The sequence below is a fragment of the Homo sapiens genome, chromosome 16 (assembly GCF_000001405.40).
Source record: "Homo sapiens chromosome 16, GRCh38.p14 Primary Assembly".
In the NCBI taxonomy this organism is placed as follows: Eukaryota; Metazoa; Chordata; class Mammalia; order Primates; family Hominidae; genus Homo; species Homo sapiens.
This window is the reverse complement of record NC_000016.10, coordinates 2,922,535-2,938,090: the sequence shown is the minus strand read 5'-3', so window position 1 is coordinate 2,938,090 and position 15,556 is coordinate 2,922,535. Positions and strand designations below refer to the sequence as shown.

Here is a 15,556-nt window from a genome sequence, read left to right as displayed (position 1 = left end):
GAATCTGCGATCCCCTAGCACGCTGCACGGTGGTCCCTGCCCTCCTCCCCTCTGGGCCCTGCAGCCCAGACTCCCACGCTGGCTGGCCCTTTCCAAGGGCTCTGGGGATGACTGGGCACGTGGCCTGGCAAGCACTGGACCCTGAATGCTCCTGAAGGACTCTCCCAACCCCTCAGACCTCATGCTTGCAGGTGCATCCCCCAGGGCAGGGGCTGAGCCTTTCTGGGCTGGGCACCAGGGCCTCCTGGCTCCCTGTCCACCTACCCCTCAGCCAGCTGGCAGCTGACTTTTAACAAGCTGAACTAAAAGGTCACATGATGTTGGGGTGGCCAGAGAGAACCCCGTGAGACTAGAAGCAGTGTGGGTGGCGTGGGGGTAGACCAAGAGTGTCCAGGATCCACCGTACGGCCCGTCAGCAGATGCCAAGCACTCTCTGTGGCTGCCAATGCCACCCCTGGCCACCATCCTCTTCCTCTAGAGAGCTGAGTGGGTTTCTACCTCCGACAGCCAGTCCCCACTACCCAGAGGACCAGCTGCAGGAGCTCGGAGCCCGCAGATGGAGCCTCCTGCCCCTGGGGAGTTTATGGCCCCGGCTGTCAGACCACCATGCACAACACACAACACCCCACGGGCAGCCTCCAGCCAGCGTGTGGGGCACAGGTCCTGGGAGACCAGGCAGACCCAGCCCAGCACCCTCCACACGCACCTGGGCTGTCCCACTGCGCCAGGTTGGGGAAGTGCTCCCGCTGCCGCAGGGCCTCCAGGCCGCCCAGGTCCGGTGGGTGGCAGTGCCTGCGCATGACCATGACCCGCCGGCCCTGGGTGATGGCGCGGCTGCGGCAGCCCATGCGGGCCTGGTCCCGGCAGGTCCAATACACCTTCTCCCCGGCCGCCTTCTCCCGCCGGTAGAGGAAGGACTCGTACACCAGGAAGCTGCCCCCCAGGGGCGTCTTCAGGAACTCGGGGCCTCCTGTTGAGAAATGGGAGGGGAGGAGCAGCGGACACCAGCTCTCAGAGCCCAGATCAGCATGGCCCCGAGATGAGACCTCCCACAACGCCCACACCTCCTCCTCACAGTGAGGTGGCCCCGGAGCCCAGGACACAGATGCCACCATCCCCCCAACTCTGCTGGGGCTCCAGCTGCTGGGGTCCGCCTCCTGAGGCTGGGGACTGGTCAGGTGAGGCCCCTGCAGGTGGCGGCCAAGCGTCCCACCTTGCCATGCCTTCAGGGAGGCAGTGTCTGCTGCGTCACTCGTCCGTCCCCAGCACCCGCCCAGGCTTGCATGCAGGGTGCGCCGTGCCTGGTTGGTCAGAGGAATGACCCGGGGCCCTCTGGGGACAAAGCTGCTCAGGAGCCGGATGGGGCTGAGAGGGGTGGCCCCCGAGAGCCGCGCAGGTAGAGGTGTGACCCCAGGACTCTGAGGAAGAGGCAGGGAGCAGCGTCCACTGTCCTGGATGTGGTGAGAGGGAGGACCTGGCGGGTGGCTGTGCCTTGCCCAGAGGATACCCTTTCCTCCGTGCAGGCTCAGGGGCCACAGAGGTGGGGAGGTGGCCTGGGGCATCGTGGACACATCGGGTGGCAGTGGAAGCAGGGGATGGGGGTGGGTAGCAAGCCCTAGAGGAGAGGCCAGCGGGGGGCGGGAGGGTGTCTGGCTGTGGAACTACCTTCAAGAGGGATGGAGAGGGCTGGGCAGGGGCCATGTGGAGCAGGGAGGCTCGGGAGGCAGGAGGACCCTGAGGGGCACAGCAGCACAGGAGCCTGGGGACCACGAGACAGAAGAGGTCAGGACGAAGGTGGGGACGCCAGGCCACGGGAGGGGGTGGTGTGACCATGGGGCACGCTTTATCCCCTTCCACACGGATGAAAATATCCAGCAAGGGGCTGCGCACGGTGGCTCACGCCTGTAATCCCAGCACTTTGGGAGGCCGAGGCAGGCGGATCACGAGGTCAGGAGTTCAAGACCAGCCTGGCCAACATGGTGAAACCCCATCTCTACTAAAAAAATACAAAAAATTAGCTGGGCGTGGTGGTGTGCACCTGTAATCCCAGCTACTCAGAAGGCTGAGACAGGAAAATCACTTGAACCTGGGAGACAGAGGTTGCAGTGAGCCAAGACCACGCCACTACACTCCAGCCTGGGCGACAAGAGTGAAACTGTCTCAAAAAAAAAAAAAAGACGCCCTCATCTGGGAGGATCAACATCTGATTAACAGGAGCAACAGAAAGGGATGATGATGGGGAAGTTAACAAAGAGCACGAGAGGATGACCCCACGATGAAGGACACAAGCCCAAAGCCTAAAAAGGCCCCCAGCACAGCCAGGTACAGCTGGGAGGGAGCAAAGACCCTAAAACCTCAAGCAAAGCTGACGGCACACAGAGGATCAGTCACGCAAAAGCGGCAGGGACGTTCAAGGGCAGGCTCTGCACCTGTGACACCACGGAGGCCAGGCTGCCCCTCCGGCGGAGGGAAGCGACAGACATTTCAGACATGAAAGGCCTCAACGTGCTACCTCCCGGGACCGGCCCAGGAAACGACGGGAGGCAGGACTTCTCCAAACCACAAAATTATAAAGAAAACCAAGAAAGAGAAAGGCAGGCCCAGAAGCAGGGAGTCAGCACAGTGAACCCCGAGGGACAGCTGGGCCCGGCCTCTGCCCCCAGGCCAGGCTGCACTGGGAGGTTCCAGCAACCTGCGGTTGTGGATGATCGGATCCAGGTGGGGTCGACCTGGACACACAAAAGCAGGCAAACAAACGCAGCAGCTGCCACCCCACAGAGAAGACAGAGCTGTGTTAGGAAGATGGGACCACAGAGCACCCCCCAGTCAGCCGCGAGCAGGTTTCTAGGCTAAAGTGAAACCAAACGTGGCCGGGTATGGTGGCTCACGCCTGTAATCCCAGCACTTTGGGAGGCCGAGGCAGGCAGATCACCTGAGGTTGGGAGTTTGAGACCAGCCTGGCCAACATGGTAAAACTCTGTCTCTGCTAAATATACAAAAATAGCTGGGCGAGGTGGCAGGCGCCTGTAATCCCAGCTACTCAGGAGGCTGAGGCAGGAGAATTGCTTGAACCCGGGAGGCGGAGGTTGCAGTGAGCCAAGATCACGCCACTGCACACCAGCCTGGGTGATAAAGCAAGACTCCGTCTCAAAGAAAAAAAAAAAAAAAAAAGCCTGTGCAAGAAGTGCACTGAGTAGCTGACAAGGAAATGGAAAAACCAATTAATAGTAGTGGAGGCACATTTTAGGAAATAGGGCAGCCAAGACCCTAAGAAACAATTGCTTAGTTACTTGTGGGGTCAGGAGCGGGGGTGAGGACGAGGCGGGGACCTCGCAGCACTGTCTCTCTGGAGATGGAACAAAAAGAGAAAGACAATCACAGCTCTCAAGTCCGAGAGAACTTTAGGGCCATGAGGCAACTCACATGACCCAAAAGCTGCAGGATCCGGAAGAGCCACTGGAAAGAGAGGCCAGCGCCTTGGGGCGTGAAGGAAGAGCAGGTGAGTGGAGGAGGCCACGATGAAATGGCTCCTCAGCCAGACGCTATGGGGACATTTACGCAACTGTGGTTGTGAAGTCAAAACACCAGGCACTGCGGGGGGCCGACCGTGTGGATAAAGATGGAGACAGCCGGGACCCTCCTCGGGCCAGCGTTTCAGGACATTATGGGTGTCTATGGAACAGCGGGCCGAGAGGAGAAACCGGCTGCATGTAAGTAAATATCACCTCCTCAATCCTTAACCACTCAGACGTTAAGACAGCCTTCCACCATAGCAACGAGACTGACCATGTGCAGTCAACACCCTCTATTACTACTATGAACTCTTAAGACAAACGGAGGAAGAGGAGGGCAGGGAGGTCTATCCCTGCTGCTGCTACTGTGGGGCAGGTCAGGCTGGAAGGGGGAGGCTGGGCTGAGCAGGAAGGTGAGACCCATTGAAAGCGGCATCAGGGGGGCCAAGGAGTAGGAGGCCAGGGCCATAGTTCCTTCTAGGATGTTCAAAGAAGGGAAGAGGACGTTTGCCAGGGGGAGCCGCAGCATGGAGAGGGAAAGGCAGTGTGGGGCTCCTGCCTGCTTCCTGGGGCCCAGCTCCCAGCCCACCCCCAGGTACCTGGGCTCCCCCGCTGCGCCGTGTTGGGGCGTTTCTCCCGCTGCCTCAGGGCCTCCAGGCCTCCCAGGTCGGGCGGGTGGCAGTGACCACGCATGACAGTCACCCGTCGGCCCTGGGTGATGGCGCGGCTGCGGCAGCCCATGCGGGCCTGGTCCCGGCAGGTCCAATACACCTTCTCCCCAGCCGCCTTCTCCCGCCGGTAGAGGAAGGACTCGTACACCAGGAAGCTGCCCCCCAGGGGCGTCTTCAGGAACTCAGGGCCTCCTGGGGAGGTTCAAGAGGCAGTCAGGGGAGGGGACAGGGGCTGGGTAGGCCTGATCGCACCCCCTTCCCTCCCTGGACCTCTGGAGGCAAGAGTCAAGGCAGGGCCGGTGAGCCCCAAAGGAAGGCAGCTCACCCGGGTCTGCGTCCATGTCCTGGTGCTCGTCTGGGGCCTCGGGCTGGGTTGGCAGCTCCTGGTCTTCGACCTTTGCTCGCTTTCTGGGCCGAGGCCTGGTGAGAGTCAGGGGACCCGGACCCCTGCGGTAGAGCAAACTATCCACGCCTCGGAGCAGCGTGTCCACTTGGCTCCCAGGGCCGTCCTGCCCAGCCTGCAGCGTCTCCACGGCCTTCTCCTGCTGCCGCCGGGCTTCCAGGCCCTCCATATCGGGCTGGTGGCAGTGCCCACGCATCACAGTCACCCGCTGTCCCTGGGTGATGGCCCGGCTCCGGCAGCCGTGCAGCGCGTGGTCCCGGCAGGTCCAATACACCTTGTCCCCGACAGCCTTCTCCCGCTTGTAGAGGAACGACTCGTGTACCAGGAAGCTGCCCCCGTAGCACGTCCTCAGGAACTCGAGGGGCCGGGCCTGTCCTAGAGGAGAGACCCAAGTGGTCACATCACCAGGGGTGGAGAGGAGCCCAGGAGGGACAGCCCCTGCAGACTGTGGGGGCTGACACGAGCCTTTCTCCTTTAAGGCTGAAATTTACCCTGGCTTCCTGAGCCAGATATGTCAGAGGCCCCAAACCCATTCCCACTGAACCCCTACCACCAAGCGACCCGGAGGAGAGTCTCATTCCTCTCCTAGCGGTCAGTGAGGCCACCCCAGCTCACCCCTACCACCGAGTGACCCAGAGGAGAGTCTCATTCCTCTCCTAGCTGTCAGTGAGGTCACCCCAGCTCAGGCCTGCTCAATGTTGCATCAAGGTTACACCGGGAGGGGCCAACCTGGACTCAGACTCAGTGGTCTCTGTTTTCTGTCACTCCTGCTCATATTTTTTTTAGGTTTTGTTTAACAAATCTACCCATTTTTGAATAAAACACACAAGGTATAATACATTCAAATGGTTCGAAAAGATCACAGTGAAAAATAAGTCTCCCTGTTCCCTGCACCTCCCTTCCCACCCCAGGTGCCCAGGGCAGGGGCCACCTCAGATCCTTAAGGCTGTGTCAGGAGCCACGTGGCCTCCTCGAACCCAAGCCCATGTCCCAGTTACTGGTAATAAAACAGCCAGAACTCCCATCTGCCACTTGCCAAGCCCCAAATGTGCAATTTACACAACAATCCAGGTTATCACAGCCACCTTAGGATAAAGCTCCTGAAACTCCAGAAATTAAGCCAATTTTCTGAGGCTACAGAGCTACCATCAGGGAGGGCTGAAAGTTGAACCTAGGACCCAAAACCCAAGACTCTCCCACCAGCCATCTTTTTTTTTTTTTTTTTTTTTTTTTTGAGACAGGGTCCTGCCACGTCGCCCAGGCTGGAGTACAATGGCTCGATCTTGGCTCACTGCAACCTCCGCCTCCAAGCAATTCTGCCTTAGCCTCCCGAGTAACTGGGATTGCAGGCGCCTCCACGCCCAGCTAATTTTTTTTTTTTTTTTTTGAGACAGAGTCTTGCTCTTTTGCCCAGGCTGGAGTGCGGTGGCACGATCTTGGCCCACGGCAAGCTCCGCCTCCCGGGTTCACGCCATTCTCCTGCCTCAGCCTCCCGAGTAGCTGGGACTACAGGCGCCCGCTACCACGCCTGGCTAATCTTTTTTTGTATTTTTTTAGTAGAGACAGGGTTTCACTGTGTTAGCCAGGATGGTCTCAATCTCCTGACCTCGTGATCCGCCCACCTCGACCTCCCAAAGTGCTGGGATTACAGGCGTGAGCCAAAGCGCCCAGCCTCGCCAGGCTAGTTTTTTGTATCTTTAGTAGAGACAGGGTTTCACTATGTTGGCCAGGCTGGTCTTGAACTCCTGACCTCATGATCCGCCCACCTCAGCCTCCGAAAGTGCTGAGATTACAGGCATGAATCACTGCAGCAGGCCTAGGTGTCTTTCCTGAACTTAATGGACACTAGAATTGCATGGGAACCAGATAAAATTCTGATTTTTTTTTTTGAGACAGGGTCCAGGTCTCTTGTCCAGGCTGGAGGGCAGTGGCGTGATCCCGGCTCACTGCAGCCTCAATCTCCCTAGCTTAAGTGATCCTCCCACCTCAGTCTCCCAAGTGGCTGAGACCACAGGCACACACCACAACAGCTGGCTGATTTTTTGTAGATATGGGGTCTCACTATATTGGCCAGGCTGGTCTTGAACTCCTCGGCTCAAGTGATCCTCCTGCCCCAGCCTCCCAAAGTGCTAGGATTATAGGCATGAACACTGTGCCCAGCCCACATTTATGTATTTTTTTTTTTTTTTTTTTTTTTTTACTGAGATGGAGTCTCGCTCCAGTCACCAGGCTGGAATACAGTGGAGCGATCTGGGCTTACTGCAACCTCTGCCTCCTGGGTTCAAGCGATTCTCCTGCCTCAGTCTCCTGAGTAGCTGGGATTACAGGTGCGCACCAGCATGCCCGGCTAAGTGTTGTATTTTTAGTAGAGACAGGGTTTCACCAAGTTGATCAGGCTGATCTCGAACTCCTGACCTCATGATCCGTCCGCCTTGGCCTCCCAAAGTGCTGGGATTATAGGCGTGAGCCACTGTGCCCGGCCACATTTATATTTTTAAAAGTCATTTTAGCTTTGAGTACATTTTAAAAGACCCTGTGGGACCCCACATTTCTATTTGGGCTGAGGAAGGGCCCTCGGGTCCCCTGCCCCGAGTGGACGCAGCAGGGGAGTGGATTGTACTCACCCAGCCCCAGGATCGAGCGCTTCTTGGGCGGCAGGCTCAGCAGTGACAGGGCTCGGGGTGCCTCCTCCTCCTCCAGGGCCGGCTTGCTCAGCACCAGCCCAGGAGTGGGCTCGGGCTCCTCAGGGCACTGCCACGGGCCCACCCCCTCCAGGGGCTCCTCCACTCGGCCTCCAGGGCCCTCAGGACCCTGGGGCTCTCCCAAGCCCTCTGGCAGGGCCAGGCTGGGCAGTTTCTCCCTCTGGCGCCGGGCCTCCAGGCCTTGCTCATCGGGCGCGTGGCAGTGGCCCCGCATCACTGTGGCCCGCAGGCCTCGGGTGATGGCCCGGCCCCGGCAGCCCAGCTCAGCATGTTGGCGGCACTTCCAGTACACCTTGTCCCCCACTGCCTTCTCCTGCTTGTACAGGAAGGACTCCAGCACCAGGAGGCGGCCCCCGAATGGTGTCCTCAGGAACTCCAGGGACTGAGGGGCTGCTGGGGGAACGGGAAGGCTAGGTTAGCTAAGCTAGAGCAAAGCTCAGGGTCGCAGGCACAGAGAGCCAGGGAGGGCGTGGGGATCCTGAGTATGGCAGGTGCCTTCTCCTCCTGCTCCCAAGCAAGAAGCCCAGACTCTCAGGGCTGGTTTTTATTTTGGGGGTGGTAGTGGATGTTTTTAGGGAGCTGAAGGAATTCTGCACGTCACTGCAACTCCCAGGAGCTCCTGGTACCTGACTGTGATCATCCCACCAGCCTCGGACACGCTCAGGATCAGAGACCAAGAGGCTGAGCTTGGAGCAAGGACAAGACACTATGCTTGAAGCAGGGTGTACAGGGCCTGCTGGGAGCGCTGGAACCCACGGGGTGGCTGGGCAGGGGCGGGAAGCCACACCTCACCTGCATCCAGCTTGCTGCACTTCTGTTCAGGCATCTCTAGGGCTGGCTGGACCACCCCTCCCTGCTCCTCAACTGGCAGGATCTGCAAGGTGCTGGCGAGGGTGGCGGGGCCAGCCATCTCCAGGGACAGGACGCAGTGCACTTCCTGGGGCTTGGATCCCACCCCATCCTCATCTTGGTCGGAGGCTGTGAGCAGCACCAGTTTGGAGAACTCCCTGGGCTTCCTGGGGGCTGCCGGGATGACGTCCGTGCCTGGCTTGGGGGATGGCTCCTGGCCGGCCTTCACACTCTCGCCCTCCTGCTCGCTGGGCTCGGGCAGGGGCATCCCGGGACCCAGGGCCTGTCCCTCAGGCCACGCTCAGCACCCAGCAAGGAACCTGGAGTGCAGTGGTTCCGTCCTAAGGAAGGAAGCAAAATCCCGTCAGTGGTGGAAGCCCTTGGGGGACTCTAGACGTGGATCTGGGAGGGAGGTGGGGCAGATGGGGCTGCCTCACTGCTCGCTGGGGCCAAGACTGGCCGGGGGCCTGATGGAACTAGGCTTCTGCTCTGCCAGTTCCTCTCCTGGCAGCCTTAGGTACGTCAGCCCCATCCAACCCCACTTTCCCCATCTGGAAAATGTGCACAATAAACACCCTCCACAAGGGGCCATCAGAGTGACTAATGGACTAAGAGCTCAGCCACATGCTGAGCACGGACGAAGGGTTTCCACCCGCGTTTCCAGTCCCCCCTCCAGTCCCTACATTATGACGGCAGAACGTTCTTATTGACCCAGTTATAGACGAGGATAGTGAGGCACAGACACCTGTGATACACTTGAGGCTGAAGAGGCGGGAAGCTGAGACCCGTTTCTGCTCAGATGCCCAGGGACTTGTCAGGACCTTTTTGGAAACCATGTGCTTCACCAGGACGCCAGGCACCTGTCTCAGGCATGTGGGCCTGGTACGCAGAGCCCTTTCCAGAGGACGGCACCACATCACGGCCTGGGAGGCAGAAAGCCCTTTCTGGGCTCAGGCAGACCCAGTCCCTATCCTAGCCTGGAGGCCCCAGGCCACCCCCACTTCAGGAGATACCAGGGCCCCACAGTGGCAGCCACCTTGTGCCGGAGCTGTTGCTGTGGCTGCCTCGGCTGGTCGGGGACGGGGCTGTGGTGGTGTCTGGAGAATTCTGAGGTCACCACGGGTTCCAGCCTGGAGAGGCAGAAAGGTCAGATAATGGGGAACCAGCACAGGGCTGGGGTGGGGGCCTGGGGGCAGTCAGTGGCAGTCATGGTGTGGGGTGGGGCTTTTTGTGTGGGGAAAAGAGAGAGAGATCATATTGTTACTGTGTCTATGTAGGAAAGGAAGACATAAGAAACTCCATTTTGATCTGTACGAAGAAAAATTGCTCTGCTTTGTGATGCTGTTAATCTGTAACTTTAACCCCAACCCTGTGCTCACAGAAACATGTGCTGTACTGAATCAAGGTTTAATGGATTTAAGGCTGTGCAGGATGTGCCTTGTTAACAATATGTTTGCAGACAGTATGCCTGGTAAAAGTCACTGCCATTCTCCATTAACCAGGGACACAATGCACTGTGGAAAGCCACAGGGAGCTCCGCCCAAGAAAGCCTAGGTATTGTCCAAGGTTTCCCCCCACTGAGACAGCCTGAGATATGGCCTCATGGGAAAGGAAAGACCTTACCATCCCCCAGCCTGACACCTGTGAAGGGTCTGTGCTGAGGAGGAGGAGTGAAAGAGGGAAACCTCTTTGCTGTTGAGGTAAGAGGAAGCTTTCTGTCCCCTGCTCGTCCCTGGGAATGGCATGTCTCAGTGTAAAGCCGACCATTCGTTCTATTCTGAGATAGGAGAAAACCACCCTGTGGCTGGAGGCAAGATACGCTGGCAGCAATACTGCTCTGTTACTCTTTGCTACACTGAGATGTTTGTGTGAAGTGAAACACAAATCTGGCCTACATGCACATCCAGACACAGTACCTTTCCTTGAACTTCTTCATGATACAGATTCCTTTGCTCACATGTTTCCCTGCTGACCTTCTCCCCACCATCACCCTGTTGCCCTGCCACACTCCCCTTGCCAAGATAGTAAAAATAGTCATCAATAAATACTGAGGGAACTCAGAGACCAGCGCCAGTGCGGGTCCTCGCACATAGAGTGCCCATCTCCTGGGCCCACTGTTTTCTATATACTTTGTCTCTGTGTCTTATTTCTTTTATCAGTCTCATCTCCACCTGACGAGAAATATCCATAGGTGTGGAGCGGCAGGCCTCCTTCACCTGGCGCCCAGTGTGGGGCGTGAACCCACGACCCTGAGATTAAGAGTCTCATGATCTACTGACTGAGCCAGCCGGGGAATTCTTTTTTAGACGACCAATTTGGCCACAATTATAACATTTCCCCCCAAATGTTCTAACTTGTCCTCCTAAAGCAACCCCAGTCATTGCTTGAGCCATTAGGATAGCTTTATGCATGGCTCCTCCAATCCCATTACAAGCCTTCACATATTCTGTAACTACATCAACTCCTGCTGGAGCAATGGAATCTAATAATGTTCTCATAGAAGGTGAGTTGGGTCCATATTGTTTAACTCCTTCCTTCATGTCTTTTAACATTTTCATGGTGAAGCGTTCATATCTAGCATTAGCCACCGCAGGTGCTCCTGCTGGAGCCCCTTCCCCGGCCGGTACCGATTGTAAAATTACCAGGAACTGCCACGCCTCAAGATCTCCCTGTTTTCTAGCTTCATCAATGATCGCGTGCAGTGTGCTACCTTGTCCACTAGGTGGTGCTGTTGGATTAAGTCTCATAGTGGGCGGCTGAGGACACAGCGCCGCGCCCTGTGGTGCTGACGTATTAAACACCACCGCCATGGGTTGCTTGTACGATGCCGTGCAATTTGGCATGGCACACACCACTTGAGGTCTGTATTGGACCTCTGGAGGCAGCCAATACTGAAGCTCGGCTGGCAGCCAGTATTGATAAGCTAATGGCGGTTGGGTTTTATTTTCTACTGGCTGATATTGTGGATACTGTATCTGGATTGGCATTGCCGAGATAGAGACTATCCTTTTCTATTTGATATTCTCTTGGGGTTTGTACTTGTCTAACCTGCATTTGAGGTTGTAATGTTACAGGTATCTGAACCACGGGAGGAGGAGTTGGCCATTGTGGTTTAGACTCTGATGGCCCCACTTTTCCCCCCAATTTTGATGATTCAGGATATGTTACCTCCTGTAATTGATTGTAGTCAACATGGCTTTATGGCCAATTGACATTCCGGATTTGCATTTTCATAGGCCATTAATTCTACAATAACCTTTTGGGTGTTATCATCTGTAATAGATTTTGGAGCGGCACCGTGCAATCTTGCCACAAAGTCAGGGTAGGGCTCTTTAGAGCCTTGTCTAATTGAATTAAAAGACGGGCAGGTGGTTCCTGGGTCCATGAATTTTTTTCCCAGGCCCTGAGGCAAATAACCCTTACTTGTTTAAGTCAACATTTTGCATTGACCGAGCGATTACAGACTCTGCTACATACTTACAATGTGAACTTTCCATTCCTTTCTGGAATTCTGTCCCTTTGTCTTCTTCACAATCTATTACATAGCTTTCAGGGGCATCAGAAACTGAAACGCTATCTTCTCCTGTTTGAAACGGTTCTAAAGCTGCTTTAATAATGGCCCAATCATTCCATACTGTAAGTGGGATGATTTTACCTTCCCTATTTGCTTGTTTTAATTCTTTGCCAATTTTTTCCCAATCCTTTAGATCTAAAGTTCCTTGTTCTGGAAACCATGGGCAGAATTGTTCTATTGTTTGAAATAGCATAGTTAGATTTTCTGTACAGGCTCTAACTTAATCCCGTGGTCACCACGGGTTCCAGCCTGGAGAGGCAGAAAGGGCAAATAATGGGGAATGGGGCAGGGACCTGGGGGCAGTCAGTGGCAGTCATGGTGTGGGGTGGGGCTTTTTTGGGGCAACTGAGTGTGGGCAGATGGTGGGGTCTTTCCCACCTCTCAGCCTGGAATCGAGACTGCAGTCCCTGACATTTTCAGCGTCCTCACCCCCACCTCACATGCTGCAGCTCCAGTTCCCACTGGTCTCCCACTTTGATCCAAAGTTCCCTGGCCTGGGGCCCCACATTCCACTCCCGAAGGCCTGGTCGGCTCCGGAGACAACGCAGAGGGGAGCGGCTCCTTAACTCCATTAAGGCCCGGTCCCCAGGAAATCACAGGTACCAGGAGGGCCAGTCCCACCACACCTCCCCCAGCCCCGGCCCAGCCTGTTCCTCCATGCCGTCCTTCTGGGCCTACTCATGCCGCCCCACAGGGTGACACGAGGTGCAGGGGCAACCCCAGCTGACTTCGCAGGCGCCTCTCGAGCAGAGCGGCTCCAGGCAGGAAAAGGTTAGGGCGGAAAGCCCCGTACCCCCCTCCCCCCGCAACTCCCCCTACCCCGCGCGCGCTGATTGGCCTGGGCACAAGTCCTTCTACCGGCAGCCCGCCCCTCCCGCTCCCTCGCTCTGAGCTCCAGGGATGAATGGGGATGAGTGGGACTGAGTGGGACTGAATGGCACTGGGTGGGACCGGGTGGGACCGGGTGAGGCTAAACCAGGAAGGATGAGGATGAGGGCAGGACGAGGCAGGACAGCATGAACCGGGATGTATGGGAATGGATGGACGATGGACGTGGCAGTTCCTTGACCCTGCACCCTCCCGGGGTCCCCCCAGCCCAGGTCCCGCGAGGCCCCCGCCCTCTGGAGAAAGTCCCCTTTGTTCCTGGGGAGGCACCTCCCTGAGAACTGCCGTGATTCCCGGCCTCCCTCCCAGCCAGGGCGAGGCATGGGGACGCCAGGTTGCTCCTGACAGAGGCCTCCCAGACTATGCAGGCTGGCACAGTGACTCGCACACTGTTCACCCCGCCAGCTGGTCCTGCAGGACACAGCTGCGCCATGGGAGTGCAGGCGGGCAGGGGCCTGTCCCAGGCCGTCAGAGTGAAGGTGGGGACTGCGTCAAGCTTGGCCTGACAAGGAAAGCCCCACATTCCCATGGAGCTGTACCCGAGTCACAGGAAGTGACAGGAGAGAGCGCAGTCCTCTGGCGACCACTTCCCACTTCTGTTTAAAGGGCTTCCAAGACACATGTGCTTCAACAGATCTGGAAAAAGTTCCAATACAAGAAAAGGCCCTGACCGCCGGCTTGTGGAAGGCTGAGGACCCGTTCCCACTCTTGCCCGTTCAGGCTCTTGGATGGTAGATGCTGACCCACCGCCACTCCGCCCGTTAAAGTCCACAGGCCCCTCAGCAACCGGGCTTTGTCTCCACCTGCCTGAACCTTGACTAGCCTGGGGGGGTTGCGTGACCCACAGCGTGGCAGGAGCGTAGGGTACACATTCCCACGCCTCACGGGCCAGGGCCCTGAGTCTGCAGGGAAGGCAGCTGTAGGAGAGGCCATGTGCAGAGCACTGCCACATTCAGGGAAACCACCTTGTACCCTGCAGCCCAGCAGTCTCTTAGATGCCTGCAGACATGAAGGAGCCTGGGAACCCCACAGAACCCTGTTCACTGGGGAACTCCTATTATTTCAAGCCAGTAAGATCATGGGTCGTATGCTACACAATAGCTGATATGCTTGGCAAGTAAGTGACTCTAGTGGGTTCTGGCTTTTTACTTTTTTTTTTTTTTTGAGATGGAGTCTCGCTCTGTCACCCAGGCTAGAGTGCAGTGCTCGGATCTCGGCTCACTGCAAAGCTCCGCCTCCCGGGTTCACGCCATTCTCCTGCCTCAGCCTCCCGAGGAGCTGGGACTACAGGCGCCCGCCACCACGCCCGGCTAATTTTTTGTATTTTTAGTAGAGACGGGGTTTCACCGTGTTAGCCAGGATGGTCTTGATCTCCTGACCTCGTGATCCGCCTGCCTCGGCCTCCCAAAGTACTGGGATTACCGGCGTGAGTCACCGTGCCGGCCAGCTTTTTACCTTTTTGAGACAGGGTCTCTCTGTTGCCCAGGCTAAGTGCAGTGGCACGATCTCAGCTCAATGCAACCTCCACCTCCTGAGTTTCAAGCTATTCTGCCTCAGACTCCCAAGTAGCTGCGATTACAGGTGCCCGCCAACATGCCTGGCTAATTTTTGTATTTTTTGGTAGAGATGGGGTTTCACCATGTTGGTCAGGCTGGTCTCGAACTCGTGACCTCAAGTGATCCACCCGCCTCAGCCTTCCAAAGTGCGGGGATTACAGGTGTGAGCCACTACGCCGGGCCGATTCTGGCTTTTTAATAGATGGAATAATGCAAACGGTTATGAAATATCTGACATAAAACTATGTGTGAGCTCCAGATTGCCATATGCTGTGCAACACAAACACCACATCCCCCAGATGGGTGCATATAAATGGCTTGTAACGAGGGAAACAAAAATATGAAGTATAAGGGACAGCAAAGGAGAAGTATGCATTTTAAAACATCTGCACTGCCCGGGCGCTGTGGCTCACGCCTGCCATCCCAGCACTTTGGGAGGCTGAGGCGGGCGGATCACCTGAGGTCAGGAGTTCGAGACCAGCCTGGCCAACATAGGCAAGCCCGTCTCTACTAAAAATACAAAAATTAGCCGGGCGTGGTGGCGGACGCCTGTAATCCCAACTACTCGAGAGGCTGAGGCAGGAGAATCGCTTGAACCAGAAGGCAGAGGTTGCAGTGAGCAGAGATCGCACCACTGCACTCCAGCCTGGGCGACAGAGCGAGACTCCATTTCAAAAATAAAAATAAACAAAAACAGCCTCTTCACAAGATGGCGCTGAAAGCGAAGAAGGGAGCTCCTGCCCCTTGTAAAGCTGAAGCCAAAGCAAAGGCTTTAAAGGCCAAGGCGGCAGCGTTGAAAGGCGTCCACAGCCACACAAAAAAAGAACCTCACAACAGCCACACACACAAAACAAACTATAAAAAAAATAGATCCGCACAACAGCCACACACACACAAAAAAAGATCCACACAACAGCCCCCCCAAAAAAAGATCCGCGCGTCACCCGCCTTCTGGCAGCCCAAGACACTGCGACTCCGGAGGCAGCCCAAATATCCTCGGAAGAGCGCCCCCAGGAGAAACGAGCTTGACCACTATGCGATCATCAATTTTCCACCGACCACTGAGTCTGCCATGAAGAAGACAGAAGACAACACACTTGTCTTCACTGTGGATGTTAAAGCCAACAAGCACCAGCTCAAACAGGCTGTGAAGAACTCTGTGAGGTGGTTGTGGCCCAGGTCAATACCCTGATTGGGCCTGATGGAGAGAAGAAGGCACATGTTCCACTGGCTCCTGATCAGGATGCTTTGGGTGTGGCCAACAAAATGGAGATCATGTAAACCGAGTCCGGCTGGCTAATTCTAAATATATGTATATCTTTTCACCATAAAAAAATCTGCAACATACGACATGCCAGGCACAAGGGGACAAACACTGTCTGATTCCACTTGTATGAGGTCCCC

General features: G+C 56.4%; 1 protein-coding gene and 1 pseudogene across 27 annotated transcripts in view, besides 2 other annotated features; one reads left to right on the top strand and one right to left on the bottom strand.

The window, feature by feature from the left end:
- Positions 1–15,556, bottom strand: part of FLYWCH1 (FLYWCH-type zinc finger 1) — a 39,278-nt gene that overhangs the window by 13,118 nt on the left and 10,604 nt on the right. For 3 of the 27 annotated variants that reach the window (NM_001308068.2, XM_047434785.1, XM_047434778.1), the window contains exons 3-7: positions 8,081–8,478; positions 7,211–7,681; positions 4,509–4,961; positions 4,112–4,375; positions 707–970 (exon numbers count right to left, since the gene is read on the bottom strand). In NM_001308068.2, coding sequence (NP_001294997.1) covers positions 707–970; positions 4,112–4,375; positions 4,509–4,961; positions 7,211–7,681; positions 8,081–8,405 — 1,777 coding nt within the window. In that variant the 5' untranslated portion in view covers positions 8,406–8,478. Of the gene's footprint in view, positions 1–706; positions 1,452–1,665; positions 4,003–4,111; positions 4,376–4,508; positions 4,962–7,210; positions 7,682–8,080; positions 8,479–9,173; positions 9,268–13,135; positions 13,233–15,556 lie in introns of those variants that run through there. The other 24 variants (NM_032296.3, NM_020912.2, XM_047434782.1 and 21 more) reach the window with 20 other exon arrangements.
- Positions 9,432–9,941: an enhancer, noted in NCBI's record as "NANOG-H3K4me1 hESC enhancer chr16:2978151-2978660 (GRCh37/hg19 assembly coordinates)". NCBI's record gives its function as "activates a minimal SCP1, AML or CMV promoter by ChIP-STARR-seq in naive H9 embryonic stem cells {active_cell/tissue: H9 hESC(naive)}" and the evidence as "EXISTENCE:reporter gene assay evidence [ECO:0000049][PMID:30033119]".
- Positions 12,596–13,461: an enhancer, noted in NCBI's record as "H3K27ac-H3K4me1 hESC enhancer chr16:2974631-2975496 (GRCh37/hg19 assembly coordinates)". NCBI's record gives its function as "activates a minimal SCP1, AML or CMV promoter by ChIP-STARR-seq in naive and primed H9 embryonic stem cells {active_cell/tissue: H9 hESC(naive and primed)}" and the evidence as "EXISTENCE:reporter gene assay evidence [ECO:0000049][PMID:30033119]".
- On the top strand, positions 14,862–15,448 carry RPL23AP86 (ribosomal protein L23a pseudogene 86; annotated as a pseudogene).